Source organism: Homo sapiens, chromosome 8 (genome assembly GCF_000001405.40).
Source record: "Homo sapiens chromosome 8, GRCh38.p14 Primary Assembly".
NCBI lineage: Eukaryota > Metazoa > Chordata > Mammalia > Primates > Hominidae > Homo > Homo sapiens.
In genome coordinates this window covers 60,990,275-61,016,192 of record NC_000008.11, presented here as the reverse complement: position 1 = coordinate 61,016,192, position 25,918 = coordinate 60,990,275, and the positions used below count along the sequence as shown (strand labels likewise).

The 25,918-nt window shown below is 44.5% G+C and overlaps 1 protein-coding gene across 1 annotated transcript in view, besides 6 other annotated features; it reads right to left on the bottom strand.

Annotated features, from left to right (window-relative positions):
• The window catches only part of CLVS1 (clavesin 1), a 536,782-nt gene that overhangs the window by 485,437 nt on the left and 25,427 nt on the right, over positions 1-25,918 (bottom strand). The window lies entirely within an intron of this gene.
• Positions 2,284-2,993: an enhancer, noted in NCBI's record as "H3K4me1 hESC enhancer chr8:61925759-61926468 (GRCh37/hg19 assembly coordinates)". NCBI's record gives its function as "activates a minimal SCP1, AML or CMV promoter by ChIP-STARR-seq in primed H9 embryonic stem cells {active_cell/tissue: H9 hESC(primed)}" and the evidence as "EXISTENCE:reporter gene assay evidence [ECO:0000049][PMID:30033119]".
• Positions 3,037-3,624: an enhancer, noted in NCBI's record as "OCT4-NANOG hESC enhancer chr8:61925128-61925715 (GRCh37/hg19 assembly coordinates)". NCBI's record gives its function as "activates a minimal SCP1, AML or CMV promoter by ChIP-STARR-seq in primed H9 embryonic stem cells {active_cell/tissue: H9 hESC(primed)}" and the evidence as "EXISTENCE:reporter gene assay evidence [ECO:0000049][PMID:30033119]".
• Positions 11,389-11,683: an enhancer, noted in NCBI's record as "tiled region #12445; HepG2 Activating non-DNase unmatched - State 21:Repr, and K562 Activating DNase matched - State 5:Enh". NCBI's record gives its function as "activates a minimal TATA promoter and a strong SV40 promoter by Sharpr-MPRA in HepG2 and K562 cells {active_cell/tissue: HepG2 | K562}" and the evidence as "EXISTENCE:reporter gene assay evidence [ECO:0000049][PMID:27701403]".
• Positions 11,700-11,769: an enhancer, noted in NCBI's record as "active region_27439". NCBI's record gives its function as "activates an Ori minimal core promoter by ATAC-STARR-seq in GM12878 lymphoblastoid cells {active_cell/tissue: GM12878}" and the evidence as "EXISTENCE:reporter gene assay evidence [ECO:0000049][PMID:35858748]".
• Positions 16,578-16,647: an enhancer, noted in NCBI's record as "active region_27438". NCBI's record gives its function as "activates an Ori minimal core promoter by ATAC-STARR-seq in GM12878 lymphoblastoid cells {active_cell/tissue: GM12878}" and the evidence as "EXISTENCE:reporter gene assay evidence [ECO:0000049][PMID:35858748]".
• Positions 16,888-16,997: an enhancer, noted in NCBI's record as "active region_27437". NCBI's record gives its function as "activates an Ori minimal core promoter by ATAC-STARR-seq in GM12878 lymphoblastoid cells {active_cell/tissue: GM12878}" and the evidence as "EXISTENCE:reporter gene assay evidence [ECO:0000049][PMID:35858748]".

The window sequence follows — 25,918 nt, the reverse complement described above, 5'->3', positions numbered from 1 at the left end:
AGTCTAAACACAAGATGTTTTTATGGTTCATATACATCTTATACACATAGCCTGAAGGTAATTTTATACAATATTTGTACTAATTTTGTGCCTGAAACAAAGATTGTGTACACTGAGCCATCAGAAAGCAAAGGTGTCACTATGTCATGTTGGCACTCAGAAAGTTTTGGATTTTGGAGCATTTCAGATTTGGCATTTTCAAATTAGGCATGCTCAACCTGTATTTCCTTATTGAGTAACCACCCAGCTCACCATATTTTATTGATTCTGGTGGTCTAATCATACTCAGGCCAGTCTTAGGGGTCAGATGAAGCTTTGGGCTGGAAGCTTTGGGCTGGAAGCTTTGGGATGGAAGTGGTGGAAGGCCGGTTGGAAGCCATCACATTTTTCTACCAATAAGCTCTCCTTTGGTTGGCCATCCCATTTTATATTCTAATTCCCTCCCGAAGCTATGAGGTCCATTTTGAGGGAACAAAAGGTAGGGGAGGGGAATGGTTTCTGTGTGTCCAACCCCTGCCCCACCCTTTTGCTCTGCTTTCTCAATTTGACTCACTTTTCTCCCACGTGTGTTCAGGATGGTGAAGCTCTTCCAGAAATCTAAGATCTGTCCTGTTGCTGCTGTCACAGAAGAAAGAACACATGACTCAGAGTGGATGAGGTAGTTTGGATCAGCTTCTGAAGAAAGCCTGACATTGGACCCTCTGAACACTACTACACACTGTGCAAGTCACATTGAGCAGCTGAGCCCAACTACTAAACACTATTAAAACAAGATAAATCCATTTAACAAATACAAACCATTGGATATAACAGATAACCTTCCTCTTCAGCTCAACTCTTCAATTACTACTCAGAATCAGTATATTCTGTGTGACTGCAAACAAGTTACTTAGCCTCTCTGTCCCTCAATTGCCTCAACTATAAAGTGGGGCTAATACTAGTAAATACCTCATAGGTTTGCTGTAAGGATTAAATGAGATAAGGCCTGTAAAGCACCTACTACAAGCTTGAAGCGCAGCCAGTGGTCACTATGTGTAGGCTTATAGCCAAACCACAAATGTTCTTTCTACCTCCAGGAAAACTTATTTCCTGCTACCTTCCATGCTTTTTGGGACCAAAAAGACCTTGGGTCTCAGCCTGGCAATTGCCACTGGCAGATTTGGTATTTCTAACACTTCTGGGTCATTGTGGCCATTGGCCTTCTTGTCCTTGCCCTGTGAACAGAGTCACTGATGGTCAGGCCATCACAGAGGAGCTACTTCTTCTAGAAAGGCACTCTCCTGGTCACCTTAAGGAACGCTTCATACCTTCCAGCCTCATTTATTGATCCCCACATCTATTGAGCCTGCCAGAATGACAGAGATAAGATTATTTTGCAGTTGTTTTGCCCAACTATGCTGTGTCCTTCCAATTAGGAAAAAGTGACCTTTGCAATCAAATAATTACCTCATTTACTCCACTGTGCATCATCCTACCTTTGTCAAGTCTTCATAAGCCTTAAATCTTCCTTATTCAAAGCTTTACAGTTTTGCCACACATTTCTTAAAAGCCCCACGCTTTTTTCTCTGATCAGTCAAAACACATAAAAACAACTAAAGACTTCTCACAAGTTACAGTAATTTCTTTAAACATTTCAAAGTGCATGTTGTTGCTTGACTGATGTGTACGTACAGTTGAAATCACCTATTTCATATTCATTTTCTTGATGCCCATACTCCTTTAATTCCTAGAAGTCCCAAAGAGCAAAATATCACCCTCCCTGATTCTTTCTGCTACTGCCGTTGATAAAAGGAAATGAAATGTATGAGTCACCACCCATCAACTCAGGCTTCCGATTACATTTGGAGACATGCTCATTAAAGCAGGTATGGGGTGCAGAGTAGAAAGGAGGAGTTTCCACGTAGCCCATGGTGATGGGAGTAACAAGTTGATCAGCGTGGCACACCAGCTCCACAAGGGGGAATATCTTAAACAATTCCATCAACACTGATTTACTTTAACCAAGTGATATTTTAATGAGCCAACCTCCATGCTCCCTGGATGACATGACTTCTCAAACTAAGAGACCACGCCACCTTTACAAGAAAGAAAAAAAAAAAAAAAAAAACACTAAAAAGTCAGAGAGTTGACACTTGCAGATGAGTCTAATTCCCTTTGTCCTGTGGATATGCACCGTGTTGGGAGAACTCCAAGTGCATCGAGCTGATTTTTGCTGTCATCAGAACTGACCCTCAGTCCCCCAGGAGGCCCGAGGCCTGTCTGCTACAATGACAGGGACAAGAGCCAAGCTTCAGCTCGGGGTCCTCAGATGTGCAGCACAACAGGCTGCGTCCAACCTTGGCGAGGGCAGCTGGATCACATGAATTTTTAAAAGTAACACAACTGATGGTGGGAGGAGGGGTCATGGAATATATTCTTACTTTTTCCCCCTGTGAAATCCCCATGGAGGAAATCCATGGACCAGCATGTTGATTTTGGCATCGGCACACACAGTGCCTCTGTTCTGAAGATGAGCTGACACGTGCAGATTTGCAGATCAGCCATTTCAAAAGGTTAATTAAATATTACCATTGTTTTCCAAGCTATCAATGTATGATCTTTTATTTCTTCATGCAGAAGGCTTCACCCCACTCAAAAATCAGGGTTTGAATTTGTTTTCCAGTCCCTTCCCCTTTTGAAAATCTGGAAAGAAAATGACCAAAGGACCGAGAGAGAGAAAGAGAGCATGAGAGGGGAGAGATGCAGAGACTCCCAGGCCAGAGGCAAAATGCAGCTGGGAGCTGGGGAAGGAGACTGGGCCAGCATTGTCTGAGGTACAGCCCTGAAACACATTCTCAGCCACAGCTGGGGACCAGAGCCATGTCATTCAAAGAAGGCTCTATATGGAGGCTGGGAAGGAGCCCCCTGCTCTCTCCATCTTTATTTATTTGTGGCATAATTGGCTGTGTTGGGGCTCAGGAACGTTGCAAGTCTTGGCCTCCAGTGGTTATGGGGGAGGGTCAGGATGTGGACCACCGAATGGCCAGGAAGGACCGAGGCAGGAAAACAGCCCACTTGGCAATGTCTGTCTGTCCCCTGCCATCTCCAAATGACATGGTTCTCTCCCTGCCTGGGATGTCCTGATGTTGGTAGCAGGAGGGCCTCAGTGCAAATGGGAGAGGGATTCCAAGATGGACGGCAAGGGATAATAAGGCAGAGGTCAGGGAGAGGACAAGTTTCCCTCCGGCAGGAAGTGCCACCCTCTGTGACTGCAGTTTACAAGAATCCTGAGCCACGATGAGCACAGCAGTCTGCAGGAAATCTCTGCAGACAACCCATCTTCTAGGGCAAGCAGGACATGTTTTGTTTGCAAAGTAATAATGCCTCCCTAGATGTGAGGAGGAAGAAGCTAGCCCACAGTGTAATGAATGAAAAACAAAGGAGCGGGGTGAAGACAGGTGATGATGGAGGCAGTGGGAGCTGGCACAGATGGAAAGAGCGGGGGAGCACAGCACCAAGCCTGGTCATGGATGAAGCTGGACGAGGACTCACACAGTGCTGCACAGGACACCTACCCCTAAACATTGGCCCTCCCCATTCCACCCATATACATGTCATGCACGCTGAAATGTCAGCCTCTGAGGGCTACATGTCAGTACAACACGACACTCACAAGTACAGACTCTGCTGTCAGAAGATCCAGGTTCAAAGCCCATCTCCATCACTCTCGGGCTGTATCTCCTTCACAGTTCTCATTTCCTAATGTTTCCATTTCTCATTTGCAAAATGGAAATAAATATTGCTACACTATAGCATTGGGAAAAATGATATAATGAAAACAAAATGTATGTAAGGTACTAAGGTGCCCAGTATATAGCAAATGTTCTTTAAATGGGAGGAAAGAGAGAGAGTGCAAAAGAGCTTGGGTGAGCGAGAAGGTGGGCAGTGTGGTCAGGACAGGTTGTGGGGTGGAAGGAAGTTAGAGGGAAGGGTACTGGGGGAGGAGAAGACTCCAGATAGAGGAAGAGGAAATGCAAGAGTGGGAGGGAAGAAAACAGGAAGGGGAAAGCTGGACATCTTTGCTCTCCAGAGCCATCTGCTAAGAAGCCTCCCAGGATGTGCAGGGTCCAGCATCCCTGGGTGAGCGGATTCTGGGTGAGCATCTGCCCTAGCGCTGTCTCCCTTGGCTAAAAGGTGTGCCTTGCCACACTGGCCTTCTCCACTCAGAGCTGAGCCCCTGCATGGGCGTGAGGCTTGGCAGTGACCAGGCAGGCGGGAATGGAAGACACTGAAGGTAAACAGACGCAGATCGCCATTCACTCAAACACAGTCACTGCTTTCCCATCATTCCCCAACACCCAATTACTTTGTTACAGTCTTCTACATTTAAGCTTTGTTTTTTCAACAATAACATGGCACCGAAATTGGTCACCACACTCATAATGGAATATTAAAAACTGAGACATGGGCTGGGCAAGGTGGTTCACGCCTGTAATCCCAGCACTTTGGGACTCCGAGGTGGGTGAATCACGAGGTCAGGCATTCGAGACCAGCCTGGTCAACAGAGTGAAACCCCATCTCTACTAAAAATACAAAAATTAGCCAAGTGTGGTGGCAGGCCCCTGTAATCCCAGCTATTCGAGAGGCTGAGGCAGGGGAATCGCTTGAACCCAAGAGGTGGATGTTGCAGTGAGCCGACACCATGCCATTGCACTCCAGCCTGGGTGACAGAGTGAGACTCCACCTCAAAAAATAAATAAATAAATAAATAAAGACATGATGCATCAGGCTACCTGCAATACGATAAAATGGGTCAAAGCACAGGCAAAATAACCCCATCATTAGAAAAATTTTTTAACGTGTTTTCTAAATTAGAGAAGAGAGGAGTACCACAGAGTTAACTATTATTTCCTGAGACAGTAAGAATTGGGAATTTACTTCTTTTTAAGAGATAGGGTCTCACTATGTTGATCAGGCTGGAACTCAGTGGCACAATCATAGCTCACTGCAGCCTCAAACTCGTGGGTTCAAGAGACCCTCCTGCCTCAGCTTCCCCCAGTAGCTGGACTACGGTAATTTCGTCTGCACAAGCGAAAACCATGAAGAAGTAGAAAGGACAAGCGCATGCATGGTCTCTGCAGATCAAAGTGTAGGGTCTCCCATTACAGCGGTGACGGGACAGGCGTGGAAGGAAAAGCATGTAACAGATACGGGGGACTCTTAGCTGAATTGGTGCGAACCAAGTGTGTCCTTCCGCCTAACGTGTGCCGGGCCCTGCATGAAATGTAGGGATGCACCGCAGAAGCCCCAGCCAGGCGCTGCGCTGCTTCTCACATAGTTTACATCATAGCACAGAACAAAGACCCAGAGAGTTGACAAACAATGACAGGAACAATGACAGGAACCTGAGAGGATTGTGCCAGAGAGTAAGCAGTATGCAGGCAGGCCAGCCTGGGGCCAGGAGAGCTGGTAGAAAGTCCATTCTGGGCAGAGAGACCAGCTGCTTTAAGTAGAGCAGGTATGGTGGATACTCATAGAATTGCCTGTTTAGTGTAATTAACCACCCCCTCATCTCCACCATTAACAAATGGGCAACAGTAAGGACATAATCTGGCCCACTCTTTAATTGATGTGAGGGTAGACAGAACCTCAGCTCCCTGGCTCTAGGTCAATTGGTCCAGGAGCAGACTAGGTTTGCCAAACTTGGCAAATAAAAATACAGGCCATCCAGTTAAATTTGAATTTCAGATAAACAATGAATAACTTTTTAGTATAAGTGTATCCCATACAACTTTTGGAACATACTTATAACTTTAAAATGATGAGTTGCTTCTGTGAAATTCTAATGCATCCGGTTGTCCTGTATTTTATCTATCAACCTTACTCATGACCTGGACTGGGCCCTCAAGAGAGTGCTTTCTGCAGGATGCAATTAAAAGACAAACGAGTCTGCCTCTCTCAGGGGAGGACAGTGCAAGATATTTTCTGTCACATGAAGAAGGCCAACCTACCAAGGGAGAAAATTAGAGGAAGTCAGAAGTCAGCAACAAGCAGAGGTGAATGGAGCAAGAGTAGGCAACATTTGGGGCCAGGTTCAAGTCTTTTCCCTGCCCTTCCTACCACCTTAGTGATTCTGCTGTCTATTTACTGATTCCCTACTCCCTCCCCATTCCCATCCCAGCCCCAGCTCCTGTGGTCAAGGGAGCAAGGAGAGGCATTTGAATTCATCAGCTCAATGGTAATAATATCAAGCAAATGCACCTTTGGCACAATAAGGCCAGGGTTGCTGTGTTGTATGGTACATGGTCAAAGCCGTTTCTTATATAGACAAGATGAGGTATTTTTCCACAGGAAGTTAATCCTCAAGATAGTGAATTATGTTTGATTTCAGAAACTTAAAGAGAACACAAGCCAGCGTTGAAACACACACCTTTCTCCCACCCCATCGGCAGTGTCTCTGCAAACCAAGTGCAAAAGCTCACTGATAGCTCATAGGATACCTAAAGTGCCTAAAATTTGCATGACAAAATATATATAACAAGTAAGAGACATTGGGTTCATGCCCCATAAAGAGGTCCTACAGACCAATAAGAAAAACACAATTGGCAACTGCCAAAATCGGGCAAGGGGGTATTTGCAAAAGAAATAAAAATTTCTAATAAATATATGAAAAAAGTTCAACCTCATTAATAAGCAAGTATATATAAACAAAAACATCAAAATACTCTTTTTAGACTCTTCAACTGGCAAATTAAGAATATCAATTTGCCAGGCACAGTGACTCACACCTGTAATCCCAGCACTTGGCGAGGCCGAGGCGAGTAGATCACTTGAGCCCAGGAGTTCGAGACCAGCCTGAGCAACACAGGGAGACCCTGTATCTACAAAAAATTAAAAGATTAGCCTGGTGTGTTGGCATGTGCCTGTGGTCCCAGCTACTCAGGAGGCTACGTGGGAGAATCGCTTGAGCCTGGGAGGGCGAGGCACTGCATTCCAGGCTATACAACAGAATGAGACTCTATCTCAGAAAAAAAAAAAAAAATTTTTAAGAGTGTCAATTTTACTGAATGCTGGCAAGAGCACAATAGAATGTATACTCTCTTATACTAATGGTATGTGTAACCCTAATATGCATATAAATTAGATAAAATAATAAATGGCAAAGAGCCTAACAGAAAAAATGACCAAAGGGATTGAATAGCCAATTCACATAAGAGGTGCAAGTGGTCAAAAGAGATTAGGTATAGATATAGATTCAGATATGGAAATTTATATTTAAATAAATGCTCCCCATCACACCCAGGGAAGATCAAAGTAAAACAAAATACTAGTTTTGTTTTACTAGGCCAAGATACTTGTCTTGTCTTATGACATCATGAGTCCTGATAACTTCTATTCCTGGGAAGCATTTGGGGAAATAGCCAGTCTTTCACAAACTTCATAGGAGTAAATATTCCTGCAGCATTTTTGCAGGGTAACTCAGCAATATCAGTTACAAGGACCTGAAATCTCTAACATCTCTGTTTCTTCCTTGAAGATAGAAAACTATTGTTTACTCTCCTCCTCTTAAAAGTGAATGCCCGCCTGCTGTGGTGGCACATGACTGTAGTCCAAGCTACTTGGGGAAGCTGAGGCAGGAGAGTCACTTGAACCCATGAGTTTGAGGCTGCAGTGAGCTATGATTGTGCCACTGCTTTCCAGCCTGGCCAACATAGTGAGATCCTAGCTCTTAAAAAAAAAAAAAAAAAAGTAAATCCCCAATTCTTACTGTCTCAGGAAATAATAGTTACTCCGTGGTACTCCTCTCTTCTCTAATTTAGAAAACACATTTTTTAGAAAAATTTTCTAACAGTGGGGTTATTTTGCCTGTGTTTTGATCCATTTTATCTCTACTGAAGGCAGCTTGATGAATCATGTCTCATTTTTAGTATTCCCTTATGAGTGTGGTGACCAATTTGGGTGCCATATTATTGTTGAAAAAAACAAAGCTTAAATGTGGAGGACTGTAACAAAGTAATTGCGCGTTCAGGGATGATGGCAAAACAGTGACTGTGTTTGAGTAGATGACGATCTGCGTCCTGCGCATCCAAGTTGCCCTACTAATAAATGGCCCATTCCTCCTCTTTCTTCCTTGGAATTCTTCCCACTGACCCATCAACTAAGCACATATTCCCTCCTTCAAGATTTCCTTCGTTCCTGGGCAGGAGTCCCTGTGCTTGGAATCCTGCCCCATCCCATCCCGTCAAGCTGTCTCCTGCAATCATTCTTGCAGCTCCTGAAATCCTGCTTCCTCCACAAAGCCCTCCCCAGCTGAGAGCAAAGTGATTTTCCTCCAGCTTCCCACCTGTTCCGAGCGCATGGCCCTGCCACACTGCTCCTTCCCTCCCCCTTCCGTTGTCTGTACCCAGGGGCGGTGCGCTTAACGACGTCCTGTCCACTAAATGGCCACTGTGTCCTGCACGTCCTTTTCTGTGCCGGTTTGTGTCCACAGTGGCAGGTGCCCGTGTTTATAAATGTGCTTTGCTTCTATCAGCAATGCGGGAGTAGCGTGGTGGCTGCTTGCGTTCTCAGGAGATGACCTTACAGAGCATCACCAAGTTCAAAGTTCCATGGCTTGGTAAACCAGGCTTGCATTTAGGGTCAGGTTGGCTCTCTGGGAGACTTACTGGAATCTTTCTATGCCTGTCTCAGGTTTCCTTAGGATAAAGTGATGCTGATTTAACTGGCAAAATCTGAAAACTAAACTAACGATAGTGACTTTAGTGCAACCAAGAACTTGACTTTTTAAGTGGTTAAAAATACTACAAATAGCCAAATCTAAATATTAGAATCCACCCTCCCACAATTCTATTTTCCTCTTCCATGGTTCAGTAACACTTCAATTGAACTGAATTCCACAGCATTAGCAATCTGGTATCTGCTACTATAAAACATCTTCACTTGCTAAAATAGATGAAAAGTTTTCTTTTAAATCCTTTGTCCGATCTCATATCTAAACACGACTAAAATTAATTTCACACTATTTTCACCTTTGGGGAAAATGCTTGCTTTTACAGCCTTCTCCTAATGTCAAAACAAAAGTTTCCTTTTACTTCTCAGAATCTCAAGATCCTTTTCTGATAAAGAGAAAAACAAATGCGCTGGAATTAAGTCCTGCATTATACATTACTGAATCAAACCAGGAACTTCAGCTTCCAGGAACTGGTAGTGCTAATGTTAACAGGCAGCATGAAACAGAAGAATGCAGGAATCACCCAATTTTCTCACTCACTTATTTCACCTTTGTTTCCTAAAGTGTTGTATAGATATTTGAAAGCCATATTTTGAATCCTTTACAGTTTAAGGTGAGATACAAAGGCATTTTTTACATTATTATATATAATTACATTCTGTAGTTAGCAGCACTACAGAAGGGCAAAGGATTTTCCCTCCTCCTCTGTCAGGGAACAAGAGAAACAGAGCAGGCTCAGGCTTCAAACCTGTGGTCCTTGTGAGTGATGTTTTTCTGTTTTATATAGACACCGACAAAAATATCCCAAGGAGTCCAAACGGTGATATACAATCAATTATAGATGCTAGAAAATGGAAGCACATTGCACGTTAGCATTTCTGCCTTCTAATAAAGCAGTGGGGATGGGATGCCCTTCTTCATCTGTCTGCTCAGGATCATTTGTTTCTTCACACCCACTGTGTCGTGGGTCACCTGCCCAGGACCGCAGCAGACAGACGGTAAAGGCAGGTGAGTGGCCGCTGACTGCTGAACCCTGCTTCCCTCCTCCTCGGGCCATCTGATCTGGTCCAGCGGCATCCTTGAGAGTAAGAAGAGATGAGGAATGGTTCTCCTTTCAATGGCAAGGAGAGGCCAGGAGAAACTACAGGTCCTAGTCTCTGCAGAACCATCAAGGGCTCCCTCCCTCCCACACCAAGCAGACAATACCTTTCCCAAATCCAGAAGATCAGCAATAATTGATTTGGCTTCTGGCCATTACCCTTCTGATGCAAAAGCAACAGCACAGTTCACTAGCTCTTTCCGATTTGTCCCTTCCCTCCCTTCAAGTGACTCCTCACATCTGATTAAAATCGGTAATGTGCTAGTCCTGGAGAGAAGAGGCGCTATTTATTTCTGTCAAGTTCTGCTTGGAAGGTTTGAGGCTTCCTCCTACCAGACATTTCACTAGTAAACAGAAAAGTCACCCATATTGTCATGCTTGCCCTGACCTGCAAGCTAGTGAACAATAAATCTTAATTATAGTTAAATGCCAAAATCTGCAAAGAATGAGGCAGCACTAGTCAACTGTGAATTGGTCCGACTCCCCCGCCTCGGCTGGGGTGCAGCTGCAGGAATACATAAATTAGTTTGTGATTTGTTTGTGCCGGAACAATCAGTCGAGGCTGTTTCTTGAGAGCATTTCCAGTATCAGTGGGCACACTGGCATTCATCCTATTGCCATGTCAGATGCAGGTGGCATCTGGGAAGTTTTATTTTAAAGGACTTTCAGCATTATGCTCGGGTTAATAAGAAAGCGCTATTTTTAAATATCTCGGCAGTTTTCCAAAGTAGCGCTCAGCCTCCTGACATCTGCTCCGTCCATACTTGTTACCTTTGGGTTTATTCGGAGAAGCGTTGAATAACCTTTTTGTTAGCAATCTCCTTTTTGCACCGTGCAGGGCCACTGGAGTTGGAGGCAGGCGTCCATGTGGGGGCTTTTTTTTCTTTTCTTTTCTTTTTTCCCTGCTGCTGTAAAGCTCATGTGCTCCTTGGTATTCAAGCATTTGCTTGTCATAATGCTAAAAAAAAAAGCCACCCTGTTGTTCCCTTGAATGCTAAAAAAAAAAAGCCACCCTGTTGTTCCCTTGCCTGGGTCCCCTTGACGTATTCGCACCCATATGAGAGAATGAGAAAGGTGATTGCTGACATAACTCTGTTTAATGGCTTCAGGCTGTTCTATCAATTTTGAGACTGACAGGAGTTCGGAGATGAAACTTGGAAGGATGGAGTTTGGGCTGCTCCATGCTGGATCCCATGAATCAATCCGCAATCTACTCATGTTATTTTAGATGCAGATCCTGTTGTCACTGGGAGTCAGTCATCTGCAAGATGCCCCTATCGGGCAGTTTTCTAAATAATAAGGCTGGCATGGATTCCCAGCTTCTGGACTCAGCAGAGTGCAATGACAGACATTGGGATGAAATGGCATTTCATTAATTACCAGGTGGATGTGTATATCGGTAAGAAGGAGGGTTTTGTTTTGTTTTGTCTTGTTTTGTTTTAAACAAAAAACAAACAAACAAAAAACACCTTTCCCGACAGATATGGGAGATGGGAGTTGGGGAGGGGGTTACAAAATAGGCAGCTTTCTGATGTCCTTTTTAAGAAAAATGAAAGGGGAAGCTTTATTTGGTACTTGAATGGCAGGTAACCCTCACCGCGGGGCCCAGGCAGAGGCCTCCCTTCCTGCCCCAGGGTGCGTTACGGGTGCATCCCAGCTCCCCCGCAGCCCTGCTGCCGGCTCCTCCAGGCCCGCGCAGGCCCCACCCTGTCGCCAGCTTCCTGTTTGTGTCGCTGCTTTGTTGCTTCCTGGCGGTCACTCTGAGCCTGCCCTTCTGCAGAGCCTCCATCCTGGGGACTGGCTCTCTTTCCAGCTCTCTCTTGTGCTAGCAAATCTGTCTGTGCCACAGTCTAAACCTTACATTTTTAAAGACCAGGCCTGGTCCTGGAGTCTGAACTGAGCCTTCAGTCAGGGCTGGCCTCTCACATGGCTCTGGCTTTCTGGGGACCTTTCTCCCAAGAGCTGGCTCAATGCATTCTTATGGATGCTTCCTCACCTGGCTGCCTGCATTCCTTTGAGGAAGGGACAAGAGTTGTTTCCTCCCTTTACAGGCTGAGAAAGAAGCCTGGAGAGACTGCAGATTGAAGTGGTCCTGGGGAAGAACAGAATGAGCTCCCAGTCTACTCACCCAAGTTATATAAAGGAGCATCCGCTAACATTGAAACACCCACCCGAGGCTTTCTACCACGTGCAAAGCACTTTATATGTGCTATTGCATTTAATCCACATAAGCACCTTGCCAGGTCGGCATTATTAGCCTTATTTTAAACCATGGAAACTGAGGCTCACAGAACTTATTATGCGTTTGTCTGAATCGACTCCTCTCTCTCTTCAGGTACCTGGGAGCTTCCCCAGGGACACTCTTACCTCATTCAGATCCCTGCTCAAATGCCACCCCCTCAAATGAGGCTCAAATGATAGATTGCTTTGTCTGAAACAGCACTGCATTACCTCCTGACCCCTTACCTTGTCTTTATCTTTCTTTTGAGAATTTTTCACCACCTAATATTGTGTATCTATATTTACTTGTGCTAGTTTGTGTATGAGGTCAGAAACTTCATCTGTTTTGCTCACTGCTGTATTCTCCTGGTACATGGCAGGTATGTCATACATATCTGTTAAGTGAATGAACGAATGGATAGATGAATAAATAAGGCTGCATGTCTTTCCATCTTAAAGCCAAAACAGTCATAATGTTTGGTCAGAATGCCAGAAATGACAGGTAACAATCTCTCCCAGATATGGAAACCTGGGCACAAGACGGACCAGTTCAGGATTCTACCATAAGGCACTGGTAGATCTAGAGCTAAACCATCAAATTCTGTGACTAACAAACTGAGTCATTGCCAGTTATCCTTGCAGTGGCTTCCTGCACCCCAGAAATTGTGGCTGGGAGCTGCTTTATTAAGCTTCTCAGAGATATCTTCCTGCATACTACCAAACTCTTGCCTAGACCTCGCTCACTTGACTTCCAACATGTTGGTGGCTCCTGACAGGCCAAAGGTGGTGAGCCTGTTGAGTTGACCCCTGTGTTGTTCTGAGAAAAATCACAGTAACCCTTACTGCCTTCCCTCTATCCACTCCCCAGAACCATACTTTTTCTTTTAAGTCAAAAAACATAATTCCTATGTTCTCTCTAATCCTTGAAAGTGACCCCTTCCAGTGTTGGGGGACATGCAGTGACAACCTCATGCTTAGAAGATCCAAGAGGAAATGTTTGGAGCAGGACCCAACCAGAGACCCCCCAGAGCAAGTCCCTCTAGAAGTTACTCAAGTGTAACAGAATTTTCTCAGAAACCGCTCTCTCTATCTACCTATCTGTCTGCCTTTTAACTGTGTACCTCTGAGCTGCAGAGAGCCAGCAAGGGAAGAGGACAGCATATTTGCAAGTCCACTCTTGGGCTCTGCTTCTGGGCCCAGGAAAGACACACCTGCAAAAGCAAAATGTAAGGCAGCAGATTTGATATGCTAGACTAGACCAAGACACAAAACCCCAAGGCCCTGCCTTCTTATTTCCTTTTCTACCAGACCCTCCACCATATATGATCCTTTTAGCAAGGAAAACTTAATAGAGAAGAACTCAAAAAGAAGACTGACTCTTAAGATGAATGCTTTCTCTCTTTCCCAACCATGGTGGCCCACAAGGAGGCAACTCAAACTTTATTGCAGATGGTAAGTATAGGGGGCTCACAAATGTGTAAGGCATGATTTTCTACTTCAAGGAAATGAGCATCTTGGATTAAACAAGCATACAGGCTGGGTGCAGTGGCTCACACATAATCCCAGCAGTTTGGGAGGCCGAGGCAGGTGGATCATGAGGTCAGGGGTTCAAGATCAGCCTGGCCAACATGGTGAAACCCCGTCTCTACTAAAAAATACAAAAAAAATTTAGCCGGGCATGGTGGCAGGCACCTGTAATCCCAGCTACTCAGGAGGCTGAGGGAGGAGAATCGCTTGAACCTGGGGGCAGAGGCTGCAGTGAGCCAAGATCATGCCACTTCACTCTAGCCTTGGCAAAAGAGCAAAACTCTGTCAAAAAAAAAAAAAAAAAAAAAACAAGCAAGCATACAGGAACTAGAATACATGTTAAAGTGGATTGATCAGCTGGGTGCAGTTGCTCTTGTCTGTAATCCCAGTACTTTGGGAGGCCAAGGTGAGAGGATCCCTTGAGCCCAGGAGTTCAAGACCAGCCTGAGCAACATGGCAAAACCCCATGCCTACAAAAAAAAATACAAAAATTAGCCAGGCATGGTAACATATGCCTGTAGTCCCAGCTACTCAGGAGGGTGAGGTAGAAGGATTGCTAGAGCCTGAGAGGCGGAGGCTGCAGTGAACCAAGATTGCACCACTGCACTCCAGCCTGGGCAACAGAGCAAGACCCTGTCTCAAAAAAAAAAAGTGGGTTGATTGAAGGCACAACATGCTTTAAAGAGGGTTCAAAAGAAAGGAGAAATTACAGTCGACAGATTGAGAGAGTCAGGAAAGATTTCATGAAAGTGGCTTCTGAGACAAATCTTGAAGGAATGGTGGGATTTCAATAGGCAACGATGGTGTAAAGGAAGAATGTCCCAGCAGTGCAGAGCCAGAGGGGCAAAGCACTGCGGGTTGGGGAAAAGTAGTTGAGTTTAGCCGGAGCTTGGGATACATGCCAAGGAATGAAAGAAGATAAAGCTGCAAAGGAATTAGGATGCAGAAAGCCAGTCAAAGGAGTTTGCACTTGATTTAAAAGGCAAAGGGGAGTGGTCCATCCATACAATGGGAAACTACTCTGCAGTAAGACAAGGATTTGTCATTTGATTCAAATTTAATTCAGCTCTAAAGACTAATATTTGATTCAGTTATTAGAAAACTGTAAGGTGTGTTTGGACAACTTGGTTTGCGAATCTTCTCTTTCACCTGTAAATCTTATGAAAGCAAAATACAGATTAAGTATGTAATCTCCACATTGAGATGTGCTGTAACTGGTGAAACACACACTGGATGCTGAAGCTCAGTATGAAGAAAGGATAGAAAATATCTTAGTCATCATTCTGATGTGGATTGTGTTTTGAAATGATAGCATTTTGGATCTCTTGGGTTAAATAAAAATGTTATGGGAGCCAGGCATGGCAGTGTGCACCTGTAGTCCCAGCTACTCGGAAGGCTGAAGCAGGAAGATCACTTGAGCCCAGGAGTTCAAGTGAGACCAGCCTGAGCAATACAGCAAGACCCTAACTCAAAAATAAGACCAAAAAATACAATGAAATGGAAACAGCAAAAGGCGCCACAGGGGAGTCATTGAAGGTTTTTGAGCTGGGAAGTTACTTGATGAGAGATGCTCTAAAATAATAATGATAATAACTTTAAGGGGGTGTGTGAGGTAGACTGCAAGTTGGGGAGACTACAGACAAGAAAGTCCATTGAAAGGTGTTTTTAATGGCTGCACCAGGAAGAACCTGACTGAGTCAGAGGCTCAGAGATTTGAACTCCACTCCCCAAATATGGTTCAGAAGTGGACTCCCTGATGCTCCCACTGGGCTAACACCAACCCTCAATCACTTGCCAAATACCTCACAACTAGGAAAGTTCTGGGTTCTACTGGGAGGGTTCAGTCACTGTGAAGGGTCAAAGGTCACCCTGATGAAGGACCCTGGACCAAACCTGACCCCTGGCTTGACTTGCAGGAAAACCCCACAAGGTTTGTTATTACATATTGAGCTGGAATTTACCATTGGAAATTCAGCCTTTGTCACAAGCATGAGGAGAACTGTTTTGCATTAGATGACATTTTCAAAATGGTGTGAAAAATCTTTGACGTTTTTATTAGAAAATCTATAAAGCCCAAACAAATGGTTTCATGCTGCTTTGCCTCATTCTTCATAGGTTCATCGGCAATCCATCATCCCTCTCACGTCTCCTGTGCCCTCCCACTCCCCTTGAACCCGTCAGCAGCAACATCTTGCCCATGAACAAAAGAACTACTCAGAGAAGCCCTTTCAACCTTAGCTGTCCTTTGCCTCTCAACTTTTACCCCTTAAATCAACTACAATCATTCCATGTTCACTGGCTCCCTTCCTGAGAGAAACAGTGTTGTCACCTCCTTCCAGAAATCCTTTCCTTTTTGTCTCATGACACTGAATTACAGAAGCTTCACTTGCCCTCTCTTCAGTTAGAGATGGGACTCTCTTTCTCTGGTCTCTTTTATGTTTGCTTTAACTTCCAATTTGAACCAAATCATTGGATTCAGAGCAAATCAGTGAATACTGTCTCTCCTGAGAAAATTGTTAGTCTCTTCCTAAGATTGCCATTTTGAATAAAGAACTCCTGTATCTTGAATTTCAAATAAGGTGACCTGCCTCAGGCTTCAGATGCAGCTCTTCCTCACTTTCAACTCTAACCCATCCAAGCCAACTCCATCTGTCTGATTATTATGCAACTTCCTGCCTATCCCTTCAGCCTCCCTAAAACAGACAACAGAAAGTTGTTAGACTTTCTCTTACCCGCTTTCACCCAGTCGTTTCTCCCCTGTGAACCTTTCTCCCTGTACCTCCCTCCCACCCATCAGCACAGTAGCTGGTACTCCAGGTGTTCACAGCAAGAGTACTGCTATACAGCCATTGGACACTGCCACTCTCTTCCGCCATTTTTGAGTGAGTCTGATGCCTTTGCCAACACTATCACCATTTGGTTCTTTCTTACCTTCTCCACCTAGCTCCCTCTTGCTTTATTAATCATCTTTTATCTATTTTCTGTTTTATACTGCTTACTTATTCAAACAAATTTGTTAGGTGATCACAGTTGGCCAGGTGGTATGTTGGCATGGATTTGGGGTTGTGGGGCTTTAATGTTTTCATTTAATTCTCACAATATCCTTGTGAGGTAGGCAGGGTGGAGATGATCACTGGCTCCATTTTACAGATGGTAAATCTCTTTAATAAAGCTTCCCAGTTCATAAAGTGCAGAGGTCAGAGCCAGGTCTTCTGCCCCCAGAGAGCAATGCCTTTCTACCATACCCCACTGTTTCACTTCCTCATCAAATACTATTCCATGTTCTCATTCTGATTTCTGGCCTGTCACACCTCTCCCCAGGCCTCTGCTCAGTTCAGCTTTACCCAGGTCGCTTCCTCTTCTCTTGGCTCTCTGCCCATGTTCCTTTGCACAGTAACTGCCAGCCAGTAGTAGCACTGCACGCTAAGCTGAAGGGAATTAACCAGCTAGAAGTCTTGCTCCGTCTTAGAGCTAAACACCCTGGTTTGGCTCTGAGCTGGCTTTAGAGTGAGATTTGGATCTCAAATGCTATCACTAGTCCTCTCCCACCCTGCACTCCATCCTCTGTCGCCTCGATCCCACACATGCCCATCACACCCCAAGACACTGGCCCTCAATGGCAGGACTGTCTCCTGGGTTCTCAAACCACTCTGGGCTGTAAAACCTGGGAGGCTCATCTCTGTGCTTCTTTTTTTCTCATCCTCAATGTGTTTTGTAGCACTCCCTGGGGGCAAATAAATACTGAAAAAAGAAAAAGAAGAAAGAAAATCCCAGCAGACAGAGTCCGGCAGCCCAAGCCACTTTACCTGCAACTCAGCTGACACTGGGTGAGATGCTCAGCAAACCTCTACTACAGGTGCAGGGAAAAGCTGCAAAAAATACAAATACAAATACACTGCTTTGCTGTGGATTCTTCCTTTTTAAATTGAGACTTTCAGGGTCATATTTATTCCCCTCCAAAGACCCGGAACAAACCCAAATAGCAGAAAATGCAGCATTGCTCTAAAAGGCACAAATTAGCCAGAGGCAGGGGGTGGGGGAAGTAAATGGAATTCCTACAGTACCCCCAAGCTCAGCAGGAATTCTTTTTGTCCCCTAATCCATCTCCTGTGTCACCAAGTGTGATGGTAGCCAAACAGGCAGGGAGGCTCTCATGGCCACAGAGAAGACAGGACGCCCCCACCCTCACCCCTTACCCCTCACCACCAGGGCAAACACTTCATATGAAACTTAAGTCGGGTATTCCGGTGTGACATTGTGGCAGTGGAATCAAGGTCAAATAAGTTCACTGAATAAGGCTGAGGGGGCTGAAGTGGCAGATGATAGTGGGATAGGCAGGAAGTAGGTAGGGTGTGGGTAAGGACTTGCCAGCCAGCCCTCCAGCATTGACTCAGCACCCCTCCTTTCCCTCTGCATGTCCTGCTCTCAAATCGCTGCCAACTACCAGCCCCAGCACTGTCAGTAAAAGAGTGGGACGAGGCACTTTTCTCCTTTTGTCTTACATCCTCCTTGAGGGAGCACTCAACTACGAGTCCACACATGGGTTCCTTTCTTCTGAGAGACAACGGGCAAATCACAAACTCAGTGCATCTGTTTTTCTTAAAAAGAGGAAGATGACGCCTTCCTTCCAACCTGTTCCCAACCTTCCCACCGTCCTCCACAAACACACACATACACACAAACACACACACACACACACACAAGCACCTTAAGGACTAGAAAGAGTCCCAAGAGGGCTATGACCTTTTTGAGTGAACTCCACTTGAATCTTAGAACATTAGTTATTCAAGGTGATCCTGTACTGTTTAAAAGAAAAAAGTCTTAGGCTCTTCTCAGCTCAAGAGAGAGCTGCACTGCAGCCTGAGTGATGGTGGCAGCCTCACCTTTCGTTGGTGGCACAGCTTCTAGGGAGGGTGGAGAGCATGCCTCGACCTGCACTTGGCTGGCTTCGTTCATCACCACAGGAAGCCATTCCCTTCCCAGAAAGGCAGCCAGGGACTCATTCCTGATAGCGACATAGGAGAGTTCATGACAGATGGAGACTGTGAACCCTTGTGGTCAGCCACCCTCCCCCTATTTGACTCCATTCTAATCAGCATAGATTTAACAATGTGTACAACCTTTATATGTGTATATATATGATTTGTATCTGATCTATAAATATATGTGCATGCATATAGATGCTAAATATGTATATAGTTGGCTGGTCTGTGTATTTGTTCTCAGCACACACTCCAGATGCTGAGGCTGTGTTGTGCTGTAAACCTGTATTTTAGGCAAGGATGTCCTACAGTCATTTCTAGATGCTAATTGCGACAGCTCCCAGGATTCCCAGCATGTCTGCCGGCTCTCTGAAAGCTCTTTGAGGGCTTCTCATCATTAGAATTCCCCGAGTTTTCGCTCCTTCCTTACAAGCCATCTGGCCTCTCCGCACTGCAGCTGCAGTCCACCATCCCCCGCCACACACACCTGAGCCTTTGACATCCCCCACCTGAAGCAAATCCATCCATCAAGAAAATCAAAAATTGCAACCAGGAATATTTTTTCCCAAAATCCAAATTTAAATTTTTTTTATTTTAAACCTCTATTAGGTTTCAGATCTTTTTTTTTTAATTTCATTATTTATACTCTTGAAATATACATTGCTGTGTACTAAGGTGGGGACGGGGGTGAGGGTGGGAATCTACCTCCATTTAATCATGTAGTCCAATTAGCTGAGGCCTCTTGCCTCAGTGGTGTGCCTCTTGAACATTATAATTGTCATTAACTAAAAGAGCAGAGAAGGTCAGGATGTAGAGGCCTTGGAGAGTCAGAGGTTGCAGGCAATCGCGCAGGGCTTGAAAGCCTCTGTGTGCTTCTCTCCTGAAGAAGGGTAGGTGCCAATGAGCAAGTCCTTGCTCACAGTCATTAACCTCAGCTAGAGGGACATTTTGAGTGACAGAGAGCCACCAGAGCACCACACAAAGGAATACATAACTGGTGGTGGCATTCGTCACCTGGGAACCTGGGAACAAGAAGAAAGAGAATAGAGGCCCAATAGCAGTCTCAGCTACCGTTCTGAAACTGTCCAAGGTGGGCCTGGTGGTAGAGGGTCCAAGAGAATGATCCAGCTAAAAGAGAAATTTCCACTTTTCTTATATCTGGAACCAAGTAGCTCCTTCTCCCACTGTCTTCATTCTCTTGTTGTTGTGATAGCTGCTGTTGGCTTGCTTTTGTTTTAATTGAAGAGATACTGAAAAGCCATTTTGTAAAGATATTGCATGCAACCCAAATGGCTCAGGCAGACTTTCCTTTATTCATAAGATGCCAACTGTGAGCTCGTGCTCCAGTGACACAGGGCATGTGACCAGTAAAAGCAAAATCCAGACAAAAGAGATGATGTCATAATAACCCTAATAATATGTAGGCTAAGGAGATTTACCAAATAGATTTTTCCATTCAATAGCATTGCAGCCAAAAAAGAATTTTTTTTTTATTATACTTTAAGTTTTAGGGTACATGTGCACATTGTGCAGGTTAGTTACATATGTATACATGTGCCATGCTGGTGCGCTGCACCCACTAACTCGTCATCTAGCATTAGGTATATCTCCCAATGCTATCCCTCCCCCCTACCCCCACTCCACAACAGTTCCCAGAGTGTGATATTCCCCTTCCTGTGTCCATGTGATCTCATTGTTCAATTCCCACCTATGAGTGAGAATATGCGGTGTTTGGTTTTTTGTTCTTGTGATAGTTTACTGAGAACGATGATTTCCAATTTCATCCATGTCCCTGCAAAGGACATGAACTCATCATTTTTTATGGCTTCATAGTATTCCATGGTGTCTATGTGCCACATTTTCTTAATCCAGTCTATCATTGTTGGACATTTGGGTTGGTTCCAAGTCTTTGCTATTGTGAATAATGCCGCAATAAACATACGTGTGCGTGTGTCTTTATAGCAGCATGATTTATAGTCCTTTGGGTATATACCCAGTAATGGGATGGCTGGGTCAAATGGTATTTCTAGTTCTAGATCCCTGAGGAATCGCCACTCTGACTTCCACAATGGTTGAACTAGTTGACAGTCCCACCAACAGTGCAAAAGTGTTCCTATTTCTCCACACCCTCTCCAGCACCTGTTGTTTCCTGACTTTTTAATGATCACCATTCTAACTGGTGTGAGATGGTATCTCATTGTGGTTTTGATTTGCATTTCTCTGATGGCCAGTGATGGTGAGCATTTTTTCATGTGTTTTTTGGCTGCATAAATGTCTTCTTTTAAGAAGTGTCTGTTCATGTCCTTCGCCCACTTTTTGATGGGGTTGTTTGTTTTTTTCTTGTAAATTTGTTTGAGTTCATTGTAGATTCTGGATATTAGCCCTTTGTCAGATGAGTAGGTTGCAAAAATTTTCTCCCATTTTGTAGGTTGCCTGTTCACTCTGATGGTAGTTTCTTTTGCTATGCAGAAGCTCTTTCATTTAATTAGATGCCATTTGTCAATTTTGTCTTTTGTTGCCATTGCTTGGTGTTTTAGACATGAAGTCCTTGCCCATGCCTATGTCCTGAATGGTAATGCCTAGGTTTTCTTCTAGGGTTTTTATGGTTTTAGGTCTAACGTTTAAGTCTTTAATCCATCTTGAATTGATTTTTGTATAAGATGTAAGGAAGGGATCCAGTTTCAGCTTTCTACATATGGCTAGCCAGTTTTCCCAGCACCATTTATTAAATAGGGAATCCTTTCCCCATTGCTTGTTTTTCTCAGGTTTGTCAAAGATCAGATAGTTGTAGATATGCAGCGTTATTTCTGAGGGCTCTGTTCTGTTCCATTGATCTATATCTCTGTTTTGGTACCAGTACCATGCTGTTTTGGTTACTGTAGCCTCAAGCTACCAATGCCTTTCTTCTCAGAATTGGAAAAAACTACTTTAAAGTTCATATGGAACCAAAAAAGAGCCCGCATTGCCAAGTCAATCCTAAGCCAAAATAAATTTTTTTAATGTCATCAGCTCACCACTCATTTACCCCTTGCCAGTGGTAGCCCATCAGGTAGAGAGGCATTGTTGTAAGAGATCTGCCCTGTGAAACAGAAGAAAATAGGGCCTGACTGCTAATTCAGCCAAGTCAGAGTAGCAGCTTCATCCTCCTTCACAGACCACAGGTTTGCTTAGCAAAACACAGTGCGGGGACATGCATCAATATTTTTAACTGCTGTTTACCAAATGCTTGCTTTATGCCAAGTTTTAACATACAGTTTCTGGTTCAACCCTTTGTTATGTTATGTCCCCCTCAAATTTATATATTGAAGTCCTAACCCCCTCAGAGTGTGACTGTATTTGGAGATAGGGCTTTTAAAGAGATAACTGTGTTAAAACAAGGTCATTAGGGTGGGTCCTCATCCAATACAACTGGTGTCCTTATAAGAAGAAATTAGGACACAGACATACACAGAGGAAGGACCACGTGAAGATACAGGGAGAAGATGGCCATCTGCAAGCCAAGGAGAGAGGCCTCAGGAGACACCAATGCTGCTGACACCTTGACCTTGGACTTCCAGCCTTCAAAACTGTGAAGAAACACATTTCTGCTGTTTAAGCCACCTGGTCTATGGCACGTCATAATGGTAGCCCTCGCAGACTAATGCACCTTCCCAACAGCCTACATATTCAGTTTAGGAGCAAGGACAGAAAGGCTCCATGACAGAAAGGAACTAGTTCAGAATCTCAAAATCACAAGGGGCCAGAGAAAGAATAAAAACACATCTTCTGACTTTCACTCCATGGCCTTGAAAAGAAAATGGCATCTCCCAGCTCCCTAAAGACAGGAGAAGCACTGGACAAAAACTTGCCTGCCCCAGGGACAGGCAGGCATCACCTTAAACCTGCCACCCGATGGTAGCTCTAGAGAAATGGTTGATGGGGGAGGTCAGTAAGAGGCGGTGCTAGCCGCTGTGCAATGGGTCACGTTAGGGCTGACCCATCTTGGCTATTCAGGAGGAGCTGCCTTTCCACCAGGCTGGGAGGCAGTCAGAGGGGCCAACTATCAAGCAGCTTATGTGGTTAGGGCTCCCCTGAGGGTTTCCTGTGTATTAAACCAGATCATCCTCACCACAGCCCACTGGGCTCAGGATGGTTGTTATGCCCATCTAATAGATGAGAAGCCTGAGGCACAGAGGTGAAGCGATTGGCTCAGAGACACCAGCCAGCAAGAGAAGCACAGATGAGAACACAGTGGGGCCCACAGGTTTCCTTCCCACTGTCTGAAACCACTTCTAGAGTGCCCGGTGCTAGAGCCAAATTCCACACTGGAGACGTGACAGAAATGAAGCATAGAGCCATTCCACACTGGCAGTATAGACATTAACTGAGACTAGATTGTGTAGGGTGGGGAGAGGCTGAAAGTCTCTCTTCACAGTTCCAGAAATGTATTGAGATCTAGAGAGCAAGCTGGGCTGGGGGCAGCCCCTCCCACCAATCAGTGGTGACCGTCATCATCTGTACACCACTTGTGGTGGAAATGACAGACAGAACAAATTAAAGCAAGAACAAGCCCCACTGTTTTCCAGGTGTTAGGGCTCTTTCTCATCCCTTCATGGCCACATCAGGAGGCTGATAAGGAGGTAGCTTTTTAGTGCTCCAGCCCCCTTTCTTCTTCCTCACAGTAAAAGCAAGATTCAAGGAAACGAATGACCTGCTGGCAATCCAGGCCCTGACAGGGCTCCTCCACTGAGTTTCACTGTCCTTCCATGACCTTCCCTAATGCCCTCCAGACCACCTCCCCTTCCTTCACTGCTGCTCTTTCCTCTGAAACACTTCTCAAATTCACCTCCCACTTCTCCCTGCCTCACGGGTCATGTCTTGCTCTTCTTAATTTGCCTAAGCCTGACAAGATCTTTAGTTCTTAAATCTCCAGACTTTTAGAATCCTCAAAAAGCAATCGAGTTTACTCAGGAAAAAAAAATGCTTGTAGATACCTCCATGGAGCTTTTGTGCAGTTGCCAGAGCTTCACTGACCTCCCAAACAGGGACACTCTCTAAGAACCCCTATCCTAGTTGTTTCCTTTTCCTTTTGAATAAACTCCTGAAGGTTTTTTCTCTCCAGTACAAATGTTTGTCTCCATTACATTGATTCGAGGGAGACCTCTGCTTCAGATGGCTCCTCTTGTTTACGTCTCATCCACGTCTTTCTGATCATTCCAGCAGTCTTTCTCTTTCTTTGCTTCTCAGGGAAACTCCGTCTCCTCCTGAAGTCTATGTATCATGCACAGGCAAAATGATCTTCTCTTTATTTCCTATAACTGCAGCTCCCTCTCCTAAGCATTCTATATTAAACTCCACTCAATACGAAGCTTGGAAATAGGTGATAGAACACAGGAAAAAAAACGAGACATAACTGTGCTCTCATGGAGTTTACAGATGAGTAAAAAATATAAAGTCAGACAATTCTTACAAATTGGACATATTACCTTACCAGAAGAGACATGGGCCATTCTTTGAGAGCATATAGTAAAGGGACTTAAGCAAGGAGCTGACTGGGCCCAGGGGATGGCATGGGAAGGCTGCTCTGAGAAAGTGGCATCTCAACAGGAACCTAAAGAAGCAGCAGGAGGCCAGGTGTGGTGGCTCACGCCTGTAATCCCAGCACCTTGGGAGGCCAAGGCGGGTGGATCACTTGAGATCAGGAGTTCAAGACCAGCCCGGCCAACATGGTGAAACCCCGTCTCTACTTAAAAATACAAAAATTAGCTGGGTGCAGTGACACACTCCTATAATCCCAACTCCTCAGGTGGCTGAGGCAAAAGAATCTCTTGAACCCGGGAGATGGAGGTTACAGTGAGCCCAGATCATGCCACTGCACTCCAGCCTGGGCAACGGAACAAGACTCCATATCAAAAAAAAAAAAAAAAAAAAGAGTGGGGCTTGATCAGGCCAAAGGGTGAAAGAGAACAAGCCAAGCAGAGGTCCTGGTTTGTTGAATTCCACATTAGAGGGAGCATGGCAGAGCTCAGAGTCTCAGAGTCCAGCATTGGGGAGCTCAGAGCTCAAGGGCTGACAGGCACGAGACAAGAGGACACAGAAGCAGACTGTGGCCGTCCTGAAAAGCCAGGAAAAGGACTTCTGATTATATACCAAGGGTAATAGGATCTGGATCTGATAAGGATCTGCTGTGAGGAAGGAGATGAGAGTATTTTTCACTTTAAATTTGTGAATATGCAACACATTCACATGTTTTCCAAAACCAGAAAGTATAAAAGCTATTCAGTACAAAGTATTTTCTGGCTTGGTTCTCCTCTCTCCTAAATAGATAACAATTTTTCAGTTTTACATGTGCCCTTTCTGCCTATACACATATGACTAGAGCAAACAAGACTAGAGATTTTTTTTCCTCTTTACCTATACAAAAAGTAGCATACCATGCACAGTGTTCTGTAACTTCAATTTTTTTTTGTGCTAGCTCTTGACTATTTTGCATGTTGTTGACTTATGTCTTGTAGTAGTATTATTATTGTTATTATTAATATTACTTAGCTTTTCACCAATGTAGGTCTTTCCTTTCCTACCAGATGGTAAGCTTCTGGGAAACAAAAGCTGCATCTTACTCAATTTTGCATAAGATAGGTATTCAGTAAAAAAATCTGTTAATTAGTTGGGCACGTTGGCTCATGCCTGTAATCTCAGCACTTTGGAGGCCAAGGCAGGTGGATCACTTGAGGTCAGGAGTTCAAGACCAGCCTGGCCAACATGGTGAAAACCCGTCTCTGCTAAAATGCAAAAATAAATTAGCCAAGCGTGGTGGTGGGTGCCTGTAATCCCAGCTATTCGGGAGGCTGAGACAGGAGAATCGCTTGAAACCAGGAGGCGGAGCTTGCAGTGAGCCAAGATTATGCCACTGCACTCCAGTCTGGGTGATAGAATGAGACTCTGTCTCAAAAAAAAAAAAACAAAAAAAACCCTGTTAATTAATATAGGTGATGAATAAGCATCTTTGTTGAAAACATCAGTTACTATTAAAAAGAACAAATGGTTCATCTATCCTATTCTCTCAAATTTTTTACTTTTAATTTTGCCACTTTTCCAACATTCACCAGAGTAGACATAATAGACTCCTGGGTACTCATCCCAGCTTCAACAAATTTCCACATTTTGGTGATCTTGATCCTTGCCCATCCCCACCACCCATCCACCCTGGGGAAGAAGAGGCTGAGGTATTTTAGTACAAATGCAAGACATCATGTCATTTTATCTGTAAATACCCAAACGAGCACCTCTAATGGATAAAGGCTTTGTTTTAATAACATAAACGTGTGCCATCAAAATTAACAGCAGTTCTTTAGCAGCATCTATTGTCCAGACCATAATCAGACCTCCCTGATTTTGGCA